The sequence below is a fragment of the Homo sapiens genome, chromosome 6 (assembly GCF_000001405.40).
Source record: "Homo sapiens chromosome 6, GRCh38.p14 Primary Assembly".
NCBI classification, from domain to species: domain Eukaryota; kingdom Metazoa; phylum Chordata; class Mammalia; order Primates; family Hominidae; genus Homo; species Homo sapiens.
Window position 1 is genome coordinate 69,017,584 of NC_000006.12, and position 19,195 is coordinate 69,036,778.

General features: G+C 34.1%; 1 protein-coding gene across 1 annotated transcript in view; it reads left to right on the top strand.

Annotated features, from left to right (window-relative positions):
- Nucleotides 1-19,195, top strand: part of ADGRB3 (adhesion G protein-coupled receptor B3) — a 754,225-nt gene that overhangs the window by 382,302 nt on the left and 352,728 nt on the right. The window contains exon 13 of the mRNA NM_001704.3: nucleotides 808-916. Within this exon, the coding sequence (NP_001695.2) occupies nucleotides 808-916 (109 nt within the window). The remainder of the gene's footprint in view (nucleotides 1-807; nucleotides 917-19,195) is intronic.

A 19,195-nucleotide genomic window follows, 5' to 3' on the forward strand; every position in this document is an offset into this window, starting at 1 on the left:
ATGAGGTGCCATGATGTTGAAAAAATCACTTGGACCATGGAGGCAGATGGTCCTCTAGGTAGGCAGGTAGATAAGTAGGTAGATGGATAGATGGATAGATGCATAGATGGACAGTTAGGTAGATACTGCTTAGCCACTATTAAAGATACAATATGGCCTTAGGTATGCTGTTTAACCTTCTTGAGGTCTTGCTTCTTCTTGCCTAAAATATGGACAATAATCCCATAAGTGTGTTTTGTATTTGTACATGTAAAGCACATGCACTAGGGCTATTAATATTATTGTAATCCTAAAATTATTACCATTATTCTTACAGTGGGCATTATAATTATTAAACAATAAATGTTTCTCTGAAGATATTTATTATTATGCAATAACTTAATAGTTTGTAAATATCTTCATGGTGGCAATATTAACTCTTTTTCCTCTTGTGTTCCTCATATAGATGCCAAGCTAAACATGTAAAGAGCCCAATTTCAGTGTTCTATGTTTTGTTAAGTGATGAAAAGAGTTCATCAAAAGAAAAGTCGTCTATTTTTTGAGGAGACAATCTGTTAGATATTTTGAGTTTCCTTAGATTTATGAGGGATTAATCACTACATCATATTACTTCCAAAGTTCCTCCAATGTGACACCTGATGTCATTCTCAACTATTAATTTAAAAAATACAGCTATTGGCAGCTGTAGATTTTTTTGAAGTGAAACAAAGCTCATTTGTGATTTCATGTAGTTTAAAAAAATTCAGTTATATATGCCATTGTATGTATAGATTTTTTATTCCTTCTAACCTTTGCTTATTTTTCTAGATTTATCCAGGGTCAATAGAGTTAATGCAGGTGATTGAAGATTTTATACACATTGTTGGAATGGGGATGATGGACTTTCAGAATTCATACTTAATGACTGGAAATGTAGGTAAGAAATAGGATTTTCCCCCAAAATCTTTCTGAAATAAAAAAAAATTGCAAGTATCTACACCATACGTTTCCAAGTATAATATTCATTATTCATATGTTTAACTGCATGTGAGCAAATATATTTCTAATACTTGGTATCTGACTTTTAGATGGGCCTAAACACATTGCATTATATATATGTACGCGTATATTTGTATTTATCTTCATGCATTTGTATGATTGCTTGTAGGCCTATTTTTGTGTATCTTTACATGTATATGTAGGATAATATGTATTTATTTTTTCATTCTGCCAAATGCTCATTGCTATCTAATCTAGTTATGAATGTGTGTGTGTGTATACACACTAGTAATTTTGAAAAACAACATATTAGTCTTTATGATCTTCCGTACATTGTTCTTGAGGATGCCGAGTTACTTTCTCACTGATTGTCCCAGGCAGGAGCTGAATCTGTGTGTGGTAGAACACTTGAGAATAACTTCCAGGGTTAAGATGATGGTGCAACTGCTGCCAATGCAGTTTTTCTGAATATGTTCCAGTACACAGTGGATCTCTCAGGTCCCTCTGTAGTGGATTCTGTAATGCAACAACCATTATATTAACCAAATGACACACTTCTCTTTGTGGTTAAAAATTAACAAGCACAAAGAAATAGCCTTCTTAGTGATACACATTGAATTGATGTAGGCTTACAGTTTTCTCATTTCTTTAAAGCTTCTTCTGATAATGTTACTGTGATTCAGAATTATTTTCTTTCATTTGTCATACTTTAATACTCTTAACATAAAAACCACTGAACCATAGATAGAAATGTGTTTAAATAAAGATATTTTGCCCTATATTCGTATTCACAGATATTTATGCTTTAGTTTCTGGATTAGGAAGAGACCTACTTTGGTGGGAGAATTAACTAGGGAAGTTCAGCTGGTAGAGAACATAATTTTTTTTTATGATTAAGGCTGTTGGTGGTTCATTTTATACTTAATTTCTTCTGAAGGTCCCTAAGTCCTGCAGAGACTGATTTTATCCTAGGATATCTTCCACCAGGGTGACCTCAGATTACAATAGGTTATAGTTAACTACTGGTAATATTCTTCACTTGAGGAAAGTCTATGTAATGGATAGTTCAAACGTCTGGAGACATTTTGGAGCCCATATATCCTCTTCATCCAGCACAGGCCTTAATCAGAGAGTTTAACATCTTAATGCATCTTCTGAGCCTATTGGAGGGCCCACACTTTTCTCCAGAGTGGGTGTCCAGCAGCTTGTGCCAGTTCAGTAATGGAGGAAGCTGTACCTTCTTATGGACAATTAGAGTAAAAAGAGACAAAAGATGGTATCTTTGTTGAACGATGAATTCAGAAATCAGAGAAATTCCCAATTAAATGTCCATTATAAAAGTGGCTGGGCAGATAAAGGAAAGAAAGTCCATAGGAACGGTATAACATGTCTGTGGAAAAGGTTTAGCAATCACAGCTATGAGTTTTAAGGCACGTGGAAGGAATCTAGCAAGATTCCAGGGATGCTAGTCACCCAAGCCGGAACCACTTTCCTAAGGGAAGGAAATGAGTTATGAAGGGTCTTGGGGCAGATTGGACAATTGGTAAAGTAATTTATGAGTTAAAATGAGATAGAAAAACAGAGAACTATTGTTTTCTTCTTCTTGTTGTAAATGTTAACATCTAATCCTAAAAGGTATTGCTAATTAAAAGAATGCTCAGATCAATACATGGCATTTGTGCAGAATGTGTTTGGAATAAAAACTATAACAAACAAAGCCAATCTCAGAGTCTAGCAAACTTAAATTGGATTTAAACTTAAATTTGGATTTGTGTTTCAGAATCACAGCGTATCACATTCTCTATAGCTGTATTATTTGCTGTAAAAATTTCATAAATGTCCATAAATTACAATCATTTATTCATCTTTACCTTTCTTTGACTCACCAAGCTTGTATATTTGAAAATATTGTGTATTTTTTTGCAATAAGATTATGTTATCTAGGTTTACCTTCTTCCCTTAAATGTTATTAAACTGTAAGAGGTATATTAAGCATAACTCAAAGCAGTCGAATGCTGCAAATAAAGTCAATATCATCCTATATCATTGTCCATCTTGCCTGAGGATAGTGTGATTGTTCTGCCTTCTGATTGTTTATATAGCAACAATTATCCATATTAAAAGTTATGTTCTGTGAGTAAAAATTCTAAACATTATTTATACTGACTACCCAAAAGACATCTGATTTGTTGTTGATTTCCTCAAATGCTAGCTCAGGGACTGACTGACACTGTAGTTTGGTGACTAGAACTGAGGGTTATGCGCCATAGTATTCAGGAGTTTTCCAAATTGTATACACTAGTATCAAATTAAGTAATATGAATAATGATCTCTTACTATTAATACTTTTTATGTTATCCAATTTGATACTATATATGTAAAACATTATAATGTTTTGTCTGATATTTCCAATGTTTTTGAGCATGGACATAAATAGAGACTATTTTATAGTAGAAAGTTGTGAAACATGTGAATTGGCCCTCATTCTGTCTTACATTCTAAGTCCAAATATTAATTATCCAACAGTCTGCTCATTATATTGAGCAGACATATATGCACAAACACAGGCATGCACTCAGCATGTGAGAAATGAATAGAGACTGAGTAACTAAGAAAGTTTGTTCCTTATGGCCATTTTCTTTAGAATGTGTTGGATTAAGACTACTTAAAGAACTTCAAAAATCATAATGTATTTTAGAGAGATTATAAATTATTTTTTCATAAAGTCTATATGTATAGCTGCCTCACTTTTCTGACTATAGATAGTACACTCCTGAAGGAAGAAGGAGTTGAACAGTCAAATATGAATGCCAAAATGACCATGCAATTTAATAAAAGACTCTCAGAACTAATAGATTATTTTATTTCAACTTTAAATATAGTTTCAGCATTTCTGTTTTCTAGTTACTGGATTAGATAGAATGGGTTGGAAGCAGAAGCAGTGCTATTAGAGGCACATGTATAGCAAATAGAATAGATGAAATGCTGGAACAATAATAACAAAGAAATACTTTTTCCTTACTGTCATTTCCTAAAGAAATGACACCTCATGTCTCACCTTTGAGAGCATTAGTTCTAAGACTTAGGACGATAATTTATATTTAAAAGCATGGCCTTAATTCATCAAGATAAGAGTTCCTAGAATCTGATTAAAATCTCAGAAAAGGAGTGACATATTTTAGAAAGACTTTCTTCAAAAATAGTTCAAATGAAAAAGTTCGAAGCTTCTTTTTTTCTGAAAAATCTCCCTGTCTATATTGGCTTTTGATAAATGAAATGCTCTTATATGATAAAAAATTCTATGAACATTTTGGTATATATGTGTGCATGTACATTTTTATAGGGAGCATGTTCATAGCTTTGATCTTTTTCTTAAAAGATTTATGATCTCAAAACGTTTAGCAGAGGTTTGGAAAAAAACAGTCTACAAACAAAGATTTCAAACCAATGAATTTATAAAATAATCAAGCTTCAATATAATATTTAGTTTTCATTTTTAAATATGTATATGACATCTAAAATAAACACATGAAAGTTATAATGCATGAGTTAATGAGCATTTACTAAAGACTAAATGCTCTGCTAAATAGTTTAATTACTATATAAATGTATGAATGAATGTGTATGAAAGATTTCAATTTTCAATATGCCTCTTTTTAAAAAAAATTATATTTGAAATGTTTTAACTATCTGCATAGGTAAGTGGTTTTTGTTTTAGGAAAAGCATGTGACTTTTTCAATATATCAATAATTTTAAAAATGTATTAGTATCAATTAGGTCTGGAGGGCCATATCTTTATATTATTTAATATGAGATATTTTTAAAAAGTTATTTTTTCAACAAGACAGAAAGTTATTTTTCAATGAAAATATTATTTGAAGATTTATTTCAACTTGTTTTCTATACTTTTCCTCTAAACATTTTTCCTTAAGGACCTTGCAATCCTATTTCTCTTATTATCTTTCTGAAGCTCCTATTTGAAAAGCCTTCCAGAAACTCTAATTGCCAAATAAATCTACTCCCATTTTTCATCCTTCACATCCTTTGTGCTTTGCTAACCACTCTTTCTTGATACTGTTCATTCCTTTAAAAATTTTACATTAACTACAGTGTAAAATATACTCAAAGGATAAATCTAAACTCATGGCTTGAAAGTATTTGGATTTCTTTTGCGGTAATAGCATAAAACAAATAACATGAAGCCCTGAAAAGGATAAAAGTACATTATTTTGAGGTCCAGCTGTTTGCAGTTCCAAATACAAAATGGAGTGTATGAGATCTGACATGACTAGAATGACAAGGCAAGGGAATGGGACTATATTGTTCTAACGATTTGTCCAAAGTTACAGTGATGATTTATAGTTTTGGTTATATTTTCAGTTATATATTTTTATATATTTTTCACAATAGCTTCATATAGCATATTACATTTGCTTTTATTGATAAGAATATCCTATTCTTTAGAAATTAATTGTATTAGTTTAGAACCTAGAACTAGAATTGCATTCATTGAACTGAATTCAAGGAAGATCAGTGATGTGTCACATGTTACTCTCCCATTGACTATGTTCAAGCAAAAACAAAAATAATTTTTCTCTTACTGTAAGCAAAGCCTTTGCTGAATGACTCAGGTCATTAAAATAAATGTCTAATCTTCTAGCCTGCAAGAAAATTGCGGTCTAGTTGTAGACAGAAAAGAATTACATAAATAAATAAACATCAAATACACTTTGATATGTGTCACATAAGCCAAATGTTAGTGCTTTATTCCAGGAGATGTTGTTCTGTATAAGGATCAAGAAAAACTTCTTAGAGAAGGAAGCATTTAATGTAGACTTTGAAGAATGGCTGGATTATTGATAAGTCAACATAAAGAAGAGTGAATAGCAAATAGATGGTTACAGTCCAGAACATTCTTTTAGCAAAGATGATATAGAGATGTCAAAGTTGAAATTGTGCTTGGGGAAAAAAATGGCCTATTTTAATAGAAGCACATATGTATAGAAGTGAAGGAAGTAAAATCAAATTGGAAAGGCATGTTGATTCATGGTTCTGAATTCTAAAGATAATAGGGAGTCACTGAATCTTTACCTGACAAGAGTTGTGCTTTGGTAGAACATATGTAAGATGAGAAAATAGAATTGATTGAAGTTGGGAAACACCATCAACACAGTGAGTCCAAATGTAGATAGAAGGCTTTTAATAGTAATTCATGCAGGAGACAATGAAGACAGGAATTGCTGGTGGTAAGAATAGGAACTGACATGTGGGTATGAATTTGAGAGTCTGTCTGAGGCTAGAATTGATAGGATTCCATAACTGACTGGGGTGTGAGAGATAGTGGAGGGATTGATATTATGTTTATTCAACATAAATTTGTGAGTATTTTTGACATATTAATATTTAGACAAGTATAGCCCCCAAGTGAAAAAAATAAAATGAGAACTTGGATTTTATTAGAGGAGTCAAATCTATAAATACACATTTGGTAATCAACTACATAAAAGTGATAGTTGAAGTCATAAAAGTTTTTTTCAATTATCAATACAATAATAAAATAGAAGAGACGTAAGGTGATATCTACGTTAAAAACAAAGAATCAAAGTTGGTGTCAGAGTAATAATGATTAGAGGTAGTAGGTATAAGGAGTTCCAGGACAAGACAGTATAAAATCAGTGTCTTATAATAAAATGGAGAGAACGTTTCAAATTGATCGCTCTACTTAATATCAACTGCTAATAAAGTTCAGTGTCTTAAGTTAAGATAAACTTTATGGGATTCTCAATTCTGTAACATGAAAATTCTCAAGGAAAAGTGCAGACACAGTGAACAGGACCTAAATGTTCAAGCTCTTTATGTGGTTTCAATGGATTACACCCATAAAATTTTGATACAGTAATCTTTATGAATTTACTTTAGATAGATGAATGTTGCTACACCCACTTACAGCTATTTCACAACTGTTCCTTAGGAATTATTTGATGCTGAAAATATCAAATAAGAAGGGAATGGTTTTAGGCTAAATAAGATCTTCAAATACAGAATGCTATAATTATTAGTTGTTAGGAATTTCAAAAGTTCTGCTGATATATAAACCCTAACAGATACAAGAATCTAAAACATATCAATTTAGTTATCCAGTAATCCAATAAGGCTAGTGCCTTGAAAGCATTAAAGTAAGATATTTTTCTTTGAAAAGGTAAATATTACTGTGTCTTCTTGGTTTAGAAAATATTAAATATTAAGGCGACCGGGCACGGTGGCTCACGCCTGTAATCCCAGCACTTTGGGAGGCCGAGGCAGGCGGATCATGAGGTCAGGAGATCGAGACCATCCTGGCTAACATGGCGAAACACCGTCTCTACTAAAAATACAAAAAATTAGCCGGGCGTGGTGGCGGGCACCTGTAGTCCCAGCTACTTGGGAGGCTGAGGTAGGAGAATAGCGTGAACCCGGCAGGCTGAGCTTGCAGTGAGCCGAGATCGCGCCACTGCACTCCAGCCTGGGCGACAGAGCGAGACTCCGTCTCAAAAAAAAAAAAAAAAAATAAAAAATAATAAAATAAAATAAATATTAAGTTTGTCAGGATGAAAATTCATAGTTGATGTTTTCTGAAATTGAATCCAAATTCAACCTGAAAAATGGTGTGATACAATGTTGACATCTCCTTTCTCTGTGCAATGCCTTTTCATCAGCACCAAACCTATGTTCTTTCTTATATTCACTGGCAAACTTGATAATTTCATTGGTAGAATATCTTGTTCTTTAATAGAGAAACCAACTTTCAGTCTGACAATATTATTCTAAAATATAGTGGCTTCTCTTTCTAGGCTTTATTTTCCTTTGTGTCGCTGCTTAGTTTTGTGATTCACACATCCCCATCTCTTGTTTGACTTCCTTTCATTAAAAATGAGACACTTGTAGTCTGTTGACATCACGCCTGAAAAATACACAATTTAACTTTTTTTTTTTTTTTTGGTATGTTTATTTGTGGCACCTGACGTCAGTTCAGTCAGCTAGATTTGAGTCTGAATGTGCTAAGTTCTATCTCTGCCTTCTGGCTCTTTACCACCCTTGCTAAACACCTGAAGCTAGTGGGTATTTTTCTGTAGGTCAGGAAAAAAAATACAACAAAAAATATCTGTTTCTTTATTGTGCTAACATACTGGTTTCCTGAGAAAACAAGTAGTTCAAACATAGTTTTAAACTTTGATATGCAGCTGTAGAGTTCTTTGATTGCTTCTCATTTCATAGAAATTATCTCATGGTATTTACTAGGATCCTCTAATTCCACATGGTTGGGGTGGAAGCACTGGGGAGGGTGACATTGTGAAAGGCTATATCAGACCCTGTTAGGAGCAAACAAGACAAACTGCCCAGGTGTGTAATGGGCTTTCTTGCACACAACTGAACCCCAGGTTGAGGTGCTTCCTAGTGCTAGTATAATAGATTGGTAATGATTCATGGATTTAACCAGCTTTAAGAGGTCTCAGACAATTATTCAGTAAATATCTGCCATGTTTTGTCCTAGAAGATGTCTCAGTGAATGAATTAGACAAACCTCTTGCTCTCATGGAATTTATGTTTTGTGGTAGAGATACAGATGTCAAACCATGCCATCAAACATGCCCAGTGGTTATAATCGTTAAAAGAGGAATGAAGCAGTCGACAGGGTGAGTGGTTAACGAGTCAAGAGAGCAGTGTCATTTCAGGGAGGATGACCAGGGAGGGCCTTTCATCTGCAAAGCGGTATTTGAATATAGAACTGAACCTTTAGAGCATGAGATGCAGTGATATGTAGGGGCAGAACACTTCAGACAGAAGAAACAATAAGTAAGCAGAAAGGCCATGATTCACCCATGTGCTTCATATATTAGAGGAACTGGGGAAAACCACTAGTGCTGGAATAGCTGAGGGAGGAGCAGTGGGAGGAAATGAAGTCAGAAAGGGAGAGGGAAGTGAAGCTAAAAGGTATTTGTCTGAGGTCTGAAAGGAATGCAAAATGCTTAACAAGTATTTGTCACTTACCTAAGGGGATACATCCTAAGAAATGCATCCTTAGACTATTTTGTTTTGCGAACATCATAGAATGTACTTCCACAAACCTAGATGGTATAGCCTATTACACGTCTAGGCTACAGGGTATAGCCTATTGCTCCTAGGCTACAAACCTACACAACATGTTACTGTATTGAATACTGTAGGCAACTGTAACACAAGGGTAAATACTTGTGTGCCTAAACGTAGATAAGCTGTAGTACAAATTTGGTATAAAATATTAAAAATGGTACACCCGCATAGAGCACTTACAATGAATGGAGCGTACAGGACTTAAAGTTGCTCTGCATGAGTCAGTGAGTGAGTGGTGAGTGAGTGTGAGGGTGTAGGAAATTACTATTCACTGTTGTAGACTTTATAAACACTGTACTCATAAGCTACACTAAATTTATTAAAAAAATATTTTTCTCCAAAAATAAATTAACTTCAGCTAACTGCAACTCTTTTACTTTATAAACTTTTTTTTAACTTTTGGACTCTTGTAATAATACATTGCCTAAAGCACAAACATATTGTACAGCTGTAAAAATATTTTCTTTCTTTATGTATTTATTCTATAAAACTTTTTTCTATTTTTAATTTTTAAATTTTAGATTTTTAGTTTTTTTTTTGGTAAACCCAAGACATGAATTCACACATTAGCCTAGGCCGTACCCAGGGTCAGGATCATCAATGTCACTGTCTTCCCCTTCAGATCATGTCCACCTGAAAGGTCCTCAGGGGAAATAACATGCATGGAGCTGGCATCTCCTATGATAACACTATTTTCTTCCAGAATACCTCCTGAGGGACTTGCCTGAGGCTGTTTTACAGTTAACTTTTTTCTTAAATAGGAGTACACCCTAAAATAATGGTAAAATGTACAGTATAGTAAATACTAAGCAATAGAAATTTTTCAGCTGCATTATAATTTTATGTGACTACCATCATATAAAGGGTCCACAGGTGACCAAAACATCATGTGGCGCATGATTATCATCTGATGTAGGTACTAAAAGGATCATTCTGACTATGAGGTGGAGATATTATAATAGACTATTTGGCGCTTGAGTGAAAACAGGAAGAGCAGTGCTGTGCTTACTCAGGTGGGAGAACAGAGGTTTGGGTCAAGTGACAGTGGAAATAGTGAAAAGGGGTCAGATGCTGAAGATATTTTAGTTGTTGATCTGAAAGAGCTTACCAGTAGGTAGAAATAGAGTGTGGAAGAAGGAGAGCACTCAAGGAAATATATCCACTGCATCTCCAAGAATCCAACTACAGAAGCAAGACAGATTTATATCAAAAATTTACTTTGGCAGCTATTCGAATGCCTGTAAAGTTTAGAATTCAAAGCAGTCTTATTTTGGCTTTTTAAAAATATGTTATCCTTCCTAACTCCAACCCAAATCCTTGCTCCTGTGGTTTGAGCCCATTTGATTTTTACTATTCTCAAGGAGACTGAGCAATTTTATCCTCAGAAGCCATCAGCATTCTGTCATCATCCCACCATACAAATCCTTGGGCAAAAGCCAGAATGAAATTGTTCATTAAAATGACTTTGTAACTCATATTGAGTTGCCAGCTAACAAATGAAATAATTCCTACTTTCCCTACCACTTTTGTGTGACTTTTTTAATTGGAAGGTCCAGGAGCCTTTAGAATAGAACTCTTAAGGCTCAACCAAGTCCAGCAAGAAACTAGTCAGCTCCATTCTTTTGAAAGCTGTTTTCGGTTTTTTTGTTTGTTTGTTTTTGTTTTTAATAAAAACGTAAAAATAAGAATACCATAGAAGTTTCTTATCTAAGTTGGAAATATATTTGCAAAACATCTTCATCTCTACAGCTTTACAAATGTTATGTGTAATAGAACTAGTCTCATAGTTATAACCCTGGACTTTAATGTCGAAAACACTGATCATGTTATGATGTTTCAATTTATTAGTAGGGCTGCATTCTTTTAGAAGTTAACTGCTGTGAAAAAAAGAGTAATATAATATTTCTAAATTTATCTTATCTGTTTTATACACCCATGCTAAGACACAACTATTCATGGTGTCACTATTAAATAATGCTTCTTGTCCCTGAGAAACTTGAAAACGTTGTCAATACTCTTTCTTGTTGTGAGTAACCCAAATGCTCTAAACTTTCTATATTATCACATATTATGCCAATTTCTAGCCTTAAACTTCTGAACTTCCTTCACAAGTACCATTTGAGTACAACATAAAGAAAGATATTTTTATTTGTTTTTTCCCCTTTTATTCCTCAAGCTTTCTAAGAAAAGTTTTGTTACAGCATCATTAATATTTCATAGCATGCCCCAAATTAATGTTTTCACAAATATTCATGATACTATTTACTCCTCACAACCTTTCTGCCTGGGTGAGAGGGGTACCCACATAATTTGTCCTACATCAGTGCCTCCCATTCAGAGTGGGTGCATTTTTTTCCCCTTTACATCTTGGTAATTGAAAGTCAAAGATTTGTTTCATTTTCTTGCTCAGCCAACCACATTCTAACCTACTTCTGTTATATAATGAACTTCAGTGTAATTTTTTTATTATGTGACTCTAGGGAAATCATACTCATCTGTTCTATATTTCTACATCAAGGTAAAATGACTCCTGACCATTTGTTTTCTTTTGTGCTAATATTCTTCATATGTATCCACTTTATTTGAAAATTTGAAACTTTTTTTGGCTAATTACACAAGTTATGCTTTCATAAATCTTTTATACCATATCTTAGATCATGAAAAAGTGAACTTATTTGTTACTCCTTCAGTCTCCATCCCTTCAGCAACTGTTTAGGAGAGAGGGCATAAATAGAGGGCCAAACCTTTCATTCTAAGGCACATAATTTCTTTTGAATTTTTTATTTACTAAGAAAATACTCATAGTCTAAAGAAACCTAAGGAGGTCACATAGAATTAGGTTGCAAACGTATGATATATAGAATGCACATTAATGTGGAGCAGCATTGGGAAAATCAATAGGAAAAGTGGAGGAAAAGCTGACTTCTGCTGTAGCTGTACAATGTATGAGAAAAGAGCTTAAGGACTGAAGAATGAAATGACTATAACAGAGATAGTGATGGTGAAGGAGTGTGCTTGAGTAGTATATCTTTCTATACTGGACATGAATTGTGAAAGCTGTCCTCAAATAGAAAACCATAACTTCAAAAATTAAGATTTCCTATAATAATACAGGCCAAGAATTCTAGTTTCTTACATGTTAACACATAGAACTTAAACAAATTTACAAGAAAAGAACAAACAACCCCATCAAAAAGTGGGCAAAGGATATGAACAGACACTTCTCAAGAGAAAAAATTTATGAAGCCAACAAACATATATATATATATATGATATATAGAATGCACACACACACACACACACACACACACATATATATATAGCTCATCATCACTGGTCATAAGAGAGGTGCAAATCAAAACCACAATGAGATACCATCCCATGCCAGTTAGAATGGCAATCATTAAAAAGTCAGGAAACAACAGATGCTGGAGAGGATGTGGAGAAATAGGAACACTTTTACACTGTTCGTGGGAGTGTAAATTAGTTCAACCATTGTGGAAGACAGTGTGGTGATTCCTCAAGGACCTAGAACCAGAAATACCACTTGACCCAGCAATCCCATTGCTAGGTATATACCCAAAGGATTATAAATCATTTTACTATAAAGACACATGCACACATATGTTTATTGCAGCACTATTCACAATAGCAAAGACTTGGAACCAACCCAAATGCCCATCAGTGATAGACTGGATAAAGAAAATGTGGCATATATACAACCATGGAATACTGTGCAGCCATAAAAAAGGATGAGTTCATGTTCTTTGCAGGGACATGGATGAAGCTGGAAACCATCATTCTTAGCAAACTAACACAAGAACAGAAAATCAAACACCGCATGTTCTCACTCATAGGTAGGAGTTGAACAATGAGAACACATGGACACAGGGAGGGGAACATCACACACCAGGGCCTGTCAGGGGAGTGGGGGGCTAGGGGAGGGAATAACATTAGGAGAAATACCTAATGTAGATGATGGGTTGATGGGTGCAGCAAACCACCATGGCACATGTATACCTATGTAACAAACCTGCACGTCCTGCACATGTATTGCAGAACTTAAAGTATAATAAAGCAAAACAAAACAAAACACATAGACATAGCCACAAACATTTTGGGTTTGAGTTTTCTTTTCTTTTTCCTCTTCTCTTCTCTTCTCTTCTCTCTCTGTCTCTCTCTCAAGAATTCTAGAGTTTCTTACGAGTTAACACGTAGACTTAGCCACAAACATTTTGGGTTTTAATTTTCTTTTCTTTTCTTTTTTTCTTTTCTTTTCTTTTCTTTTCTTTTCTTTTCTTTCTTTTCCTTTCTTTTCTTTTCTTTTTTTTTTCCTCTTCTCTTCTCTCTTCTCTTCTCTTCTCTTCTCTTCTCTTCTCTTCTCTTCTCTTCTCTTCTCTTCTCTTCTCTTCTCTTCTCTTCTCTCTCTTCTCTCTGTCTCTCTCTCTCAAGAATTCTAGAGTTTCAGCCAGGCTTGGTGGCTTATGGCTGTAATCCCAGCACTTTGGGAGGCCGAGGCGGGCGGATCATGAGGTCAGGAGATCGAGACCATCCTGGCTAACACGGTGAAACCCAGTCTCTACTAAAAATACAAAAATTTAACCGGGCGCAGTGGTTGGGGGCCTGTAGTCCCAGCTACTCGGGAGGCTGAGGCAGGAGAATGATGTGAACCCGGGATGCAGAGCTTGCAGTGAGCCGAGATCATGCCACTGCACTCCAGCCTGGGCGACAGAGCAAGACTCCATCTCAAAAAAAAAAAAAAAATTCTAGAGTTTCTTACATGTTAACATGTAGACCTAGCCACAAACATTTTGAATTTGAGTTGTCTCTTTCTTTCTTTCTTTCTTTCTTTCTTTCTTTTTCTTTCTTTCTTTTCTTCCTCTGTCTCTGTCTCTCTTTCTTTCTTCTCTTTCCTTTCTTTCCTTTTTTTCTTTTCCTTTCTTTCTTTTTTTATTTTTTTGAGACAGGTTCTTAATTTGTCACTCAGGCTGGAGTGCAGTGGCATGACTTCAGCTCACTACAACCTCCACCTCCTGGGCTCAAGTGATACTCCTGCCTCAGCTTTTTGAGTAGCTGGGACTACAGTCATGCGCCACCACGCCAGGCTAATTTTGGTATTTTTGGTAGAGACTGGGTTGCCATGTTGCCCAGGTTAGTCTCGAACTCCTGGACTCAAGAGATCTCCCACCTTGGCCTCCAAAAGTGTTGGGATTACAGATGTGAGCGACTGTTCTGGCAGTTTTCTTTATTCTCTATGAAGAGCTTGAATTTCTACAAAAAAAGTTTTTGATGACCTGTGTGCCCTAGGGAAGGTATAAAGAGAAGTGTTGCGTAAAGGGGTTGGTGGTTTGCCTCAGTTCAAGAGATCTTCAGAGGACTTTAACTAGGAAAATTTTCTTAAAAATAGGATTGAGCAAAAAGACTGTTTGGGAAACTAGGTGGCAAGTGGCTTTCTATTTCCCTGGAGACCTTGTATATGAAAGATCTTGGAATTATAGGTCTTCCCCAGTTGACTTCATTGTTATTTCCGAGATAAACTCCTTCAAAATCTGGTAGAGTCACACCAATAACATAAATGGGAAGGTGAAATCTAAAGTCAATTGAAAACAAATTTTGAATTTTATAAAATATTACTTCTGATTTTTATTGGTTTTGTATTGCAATGATTTGAAATTAGTAAAGTTATCACGCTATATGCCTTCTTTTCAATTTTGCTCTACAAATGAACTAGAAGGATGCTGCTGTGAGTTTGTGTAAATATAAAAAACAATCCCAGTTTAACTGTTTCTATGGCAATAATTGCTCATCTCTATGGAAATAGTGGTCTGCCTATTTAACAATAACCCGTGAAGAGAAAAGAGGTATTGACTCCCTTTAACAAATTTTCATTCTTTTTCTATTTCATTTCACCTTTTCAAAAATCTTATTTTGTTTGGTTATACCAAGAAATCTGGACTAAATTATTCCTTTCCTCCTTTGCTTCCTTCACTGAATTCCAAATAAATAAGTATTCATGTGAATTTGAAAACTAAAAATTCTGGCTCAGATTGAAGACTGTGCTTTTATGTCAGTGCAAATAGGGATGCCCTTTTGTATCTTTTAAAACATGCTAGCTTTGGAGTTAGACATCTGGCTGCAAACCTTGACTATACCATGACTAACTAGCCTTCTGGAAGTTATCTCTCCTGTATAGTTGTCAAGATTAAAGGTAACATATATTTAGCACATACAAACACAAGGCCAAATATGGGCTGTGCTACTGATTTGATATGTGACTTTGGTTACTGAGTAGCCACTCAGTCCCTTGCAGCCACAGTCCACTCCTCTAGGGAACTTGCAGAGTTCCTACTTAAGTTTAGTATCCTACATTTTAAAAAATATATAAATATTATACTTATTGTGTACTTTACAAAGAAGACCCAGATCTCAGACTTCTAGGCAGATATTATGACCAATCTAGAAAACAATATGTGCTGTCTAGCTGTTTTATGGTTGTCTTCTGTGGTGTAATGGCAGTTAGGGCCCATGAAGATTTCAATGGCATTTGGCATTTTGCTATCTTAAAAAGCTATTCTTCTTTGTAGTTATTTGTCATTAGTCAGATCCTAGCTCTCTTGAATGATTCATACAAATAAATAGTTTCTGCTTTAATTTTGTATTTTTTTCCTTAACATATACTCCATCAACTATCATCTGCAAAATTTCGCCAATTATCTCTATAAATGCATCAAATAATTATGTAGTATTGCTACATTCTCTGAAATTTATAAATGAATTAGTTCATTTTTATCCTTAACTGAAGTCTTTTGAATAGTCAAAAATATTTTCATTCTTTTGCAATGCAATTAAATTTTCCATATGAACAGCTTTAACTTTAGAAATATAAATAATTTCTTATATGGCTAGTTTAGCATATTTTTTTAATTTGGTCTTTTGTTTTGACATGTGGCATATGTACATGAGAGAGCAGGTACAAATGTGTTTTTGTGTGTTTATCTTCTAAAATATTTATCAGTGTTTGAACCAGATATGCAGTTGTTTTAGATATCGTTAAAATTCATACTACAGGCTTAAGGAAAAGTTAGGTGGCTTTTTTCAAAGTTACATTAAAGAATGAAGATACGTTTTAATGAAAGTTAAACTGAATTGAGAATCCTACAATAACAAGATTTAAGGGGTTTATAATTGTCTATACTGGACAGTACTGTATTGAAGGCATAGCTGATGACTACAAAGTAGAAGCGAACTGTTCACAAGGGAGTGATTTATATTGGATAATAGGTTATATTCCCAAATATATATTCTGAATTCAGACAAAACCTGACTCATTGAATTTATTAACAGGGTTCTCAAATGAAGTGGGAATACATAATTGAGACTAAGATACTAAAGCATTTTCTTTATTACTATAAAATGTTTAGTAAGCATCTTCAATATCCATTTAGCTATAGTTTTCCTCTTTGAAATATGAACCTTCCTCCTTTTGAAGAATCTGTACTTTTTATTACAGAGTCTGACCTTCCTCTCTACTTTCTACATAGTCACCTTTTGCTTTTTCCAAATTAATTCCCTGATTGTTTGTCTTTTAATTTTCCCTAACTCCAAATACTTACCTTATTGCCCCCAAATAACATCTATAGTATTTAAAATGTATTCTGAAAATCTAAAATATCTTTAAAATCACAGAATTTTAGAAATATGGAATATTTATTTTTAAATAATTTCTTAACAGAGAAGCAAATGTATTATTTTGTAATATAATTTAGACTACATAGGTGAAACAAAATTATAATTGGTTGATATGCTCTTTTTAGCTATATAAAATTTATATAGCTATAAATTTATTTTATACTACATATAATTATATAAATTATATAGCTATATATTTTATAAATTATAGCTATATATAAATTATAACTATATATTTATATAGCTATAAATATATAACTATATGGTGAGAGACAGAGAGAGAGACAGAGAGGAAGACAGAGAGAGAGTGAGAGAGAGAACAACAGTACATTAACTTAGAAAGGGATAGTTTAATAATGAGAGGATGGTTTTAAAAGGAGTCAAAACCATCACTCATTTAGTGTTAGTGGAACTCAATTAGTGTTCACTGGTAAATTTTATATAGTTAAAAAGAGCATAACTATATAAAGTGAAATAGAACACTCAATTTGATCATAGAGTGTGTGTTTGTGGGGTTGGAGAGTAAGCTATTGTTTGTTTGAGGATTTGTTTGTTTAATAATCCAAAGACCAAAATTATTTTCTGAACTTTAGTGTCCTTAATAGTCTATTGCTTCATATGGGAAAGACATGATGTTTTCAAATATAGAGTTGATGTGTTAATTTTATTAGTCATCATCCTTTGTTTATAATTCCAATGATAAACTCATGAATTTCTACTATAATACCATTAAGATATGTTTTTGCTTCTTTATGATCCAAAATTAGTCTATAAAATATAATTAATTGTGCCTGGTTCAGAGTGTGTTGTGGCATCAAATGAGGTAATTCGCTGGTATGAGGATTTAAATGCTTAGTAAATGGTGTCTTCTATTGCTGCTATTGCCCCTTTTCTCTCTTCAAAAAATTACATTTGGTTAGGCACACATACTTCAGTTCTCCCTATTTTGAAAAAGGTATAGGACCTATGGGTTTTTTGCTTTTTTTGTTTGTTTTTGTTTTATTTTAGTAAGATGAAGTAAGTATCTACAGATCCATAAACAAGCCAGGACCTGATATAATAATTAGTCAAGAGAGGAGTTGGTTGAAATGAAAGACTGAAAGTATGACTGAAGAGTAATTGTTAATGTAAAAGGTCAAGAGCTAACATAGAGGAAGAAGTTAGAGACCAGGATGGGGAGACCCTGAAAAGGATTTCTTATTTTATACAAGTATAACGGGAAACCTGGGAGTAACATGATTCAATTTATACTTAAAACCTATGCTGACTGCATTGTGGAGAATGAATAGGAAAGGCACAACAATGGAAGCAGGGAACATAGTGAGTTGTTTTAATTTAGATAGGGTCTGATGGCCTAATGTGTGACAGTCAAGGTGGGCATGAGAAGACAACTTTAAGCTATGTTTTAGAAGTGAAACTGTAAGTACAATGATGAATTGGATTCAAGAAGTGAGGACATAGATATGTCAAGGGTAACACTGATTTCTGGCTTGAGTAAAGTCGATAGAGGTGCTATTTATGGAAATGGGAAAGATTACACAGGGAATGCATATTTTGATGAAGAGTGGGTGGAAATCCAGAGTTAAGCTTTGGATACATCACATTTGAGATGCCTGAAGAAATTCAATGAAAAAGTCCAAGTAGACAGTTTAGTATTAGGTCTGGAGTTAAGAAGAAAATGTCTTATCCCTATTATGGCCATACTTAAGATACTGTGTGAAGTATGTCTTTCACTACATTGTAATCTCTTTAAATGCAAGGACTCTTTCTTTCTCAATTTCGGATCTTCCACAGCATTTTATACAAGGCAGAGAATGGTTAAAGTGAAGAATAAAAAAGAGTTGGCATGAATTGAATCTGTGTACAAGGAGTGAGTTAACTGCCTCCAACTTAATCCTAATGAAAGGTTACTGATTTTTACAGATGGTCAAAGTGAACAGCAATTAAATGACTTGCCAAAGTTCACAAAGTAAATGGAAAACTAGTCCTGGTTGACTCCAGGGCACAAATTGATCATATTAAACTCACTGCCTCTAATTAAGCCCTTGTTAAACCTCATCTATTAAAAAAAATGTGGACAGTTATTGCACCAAACTCACTATATGCTAAGATCTTAGCACGTAACAATATACAGAAAAATGCCTATCCTTTTGGAATTTAAAGTCTAGCGTGGGAGGCAGAAAATGAGTAAGTCTATGTAAAAAAAAAATTACATAATAGAGAGAAATGGGGGCTTGGATATCTTTATATGGGGTAGTTAGGACAGACCAAGCTAAGGAAAAAATAATTTAGCGGAGACCCATGGATAAGTACAAGGAAAGAATGTTCTAGTTAGAAAGAAAAAGCCCTGTGGTAGAAAAGATCTGTGCATCTTAGTCATGGTCACCAAACAAGACA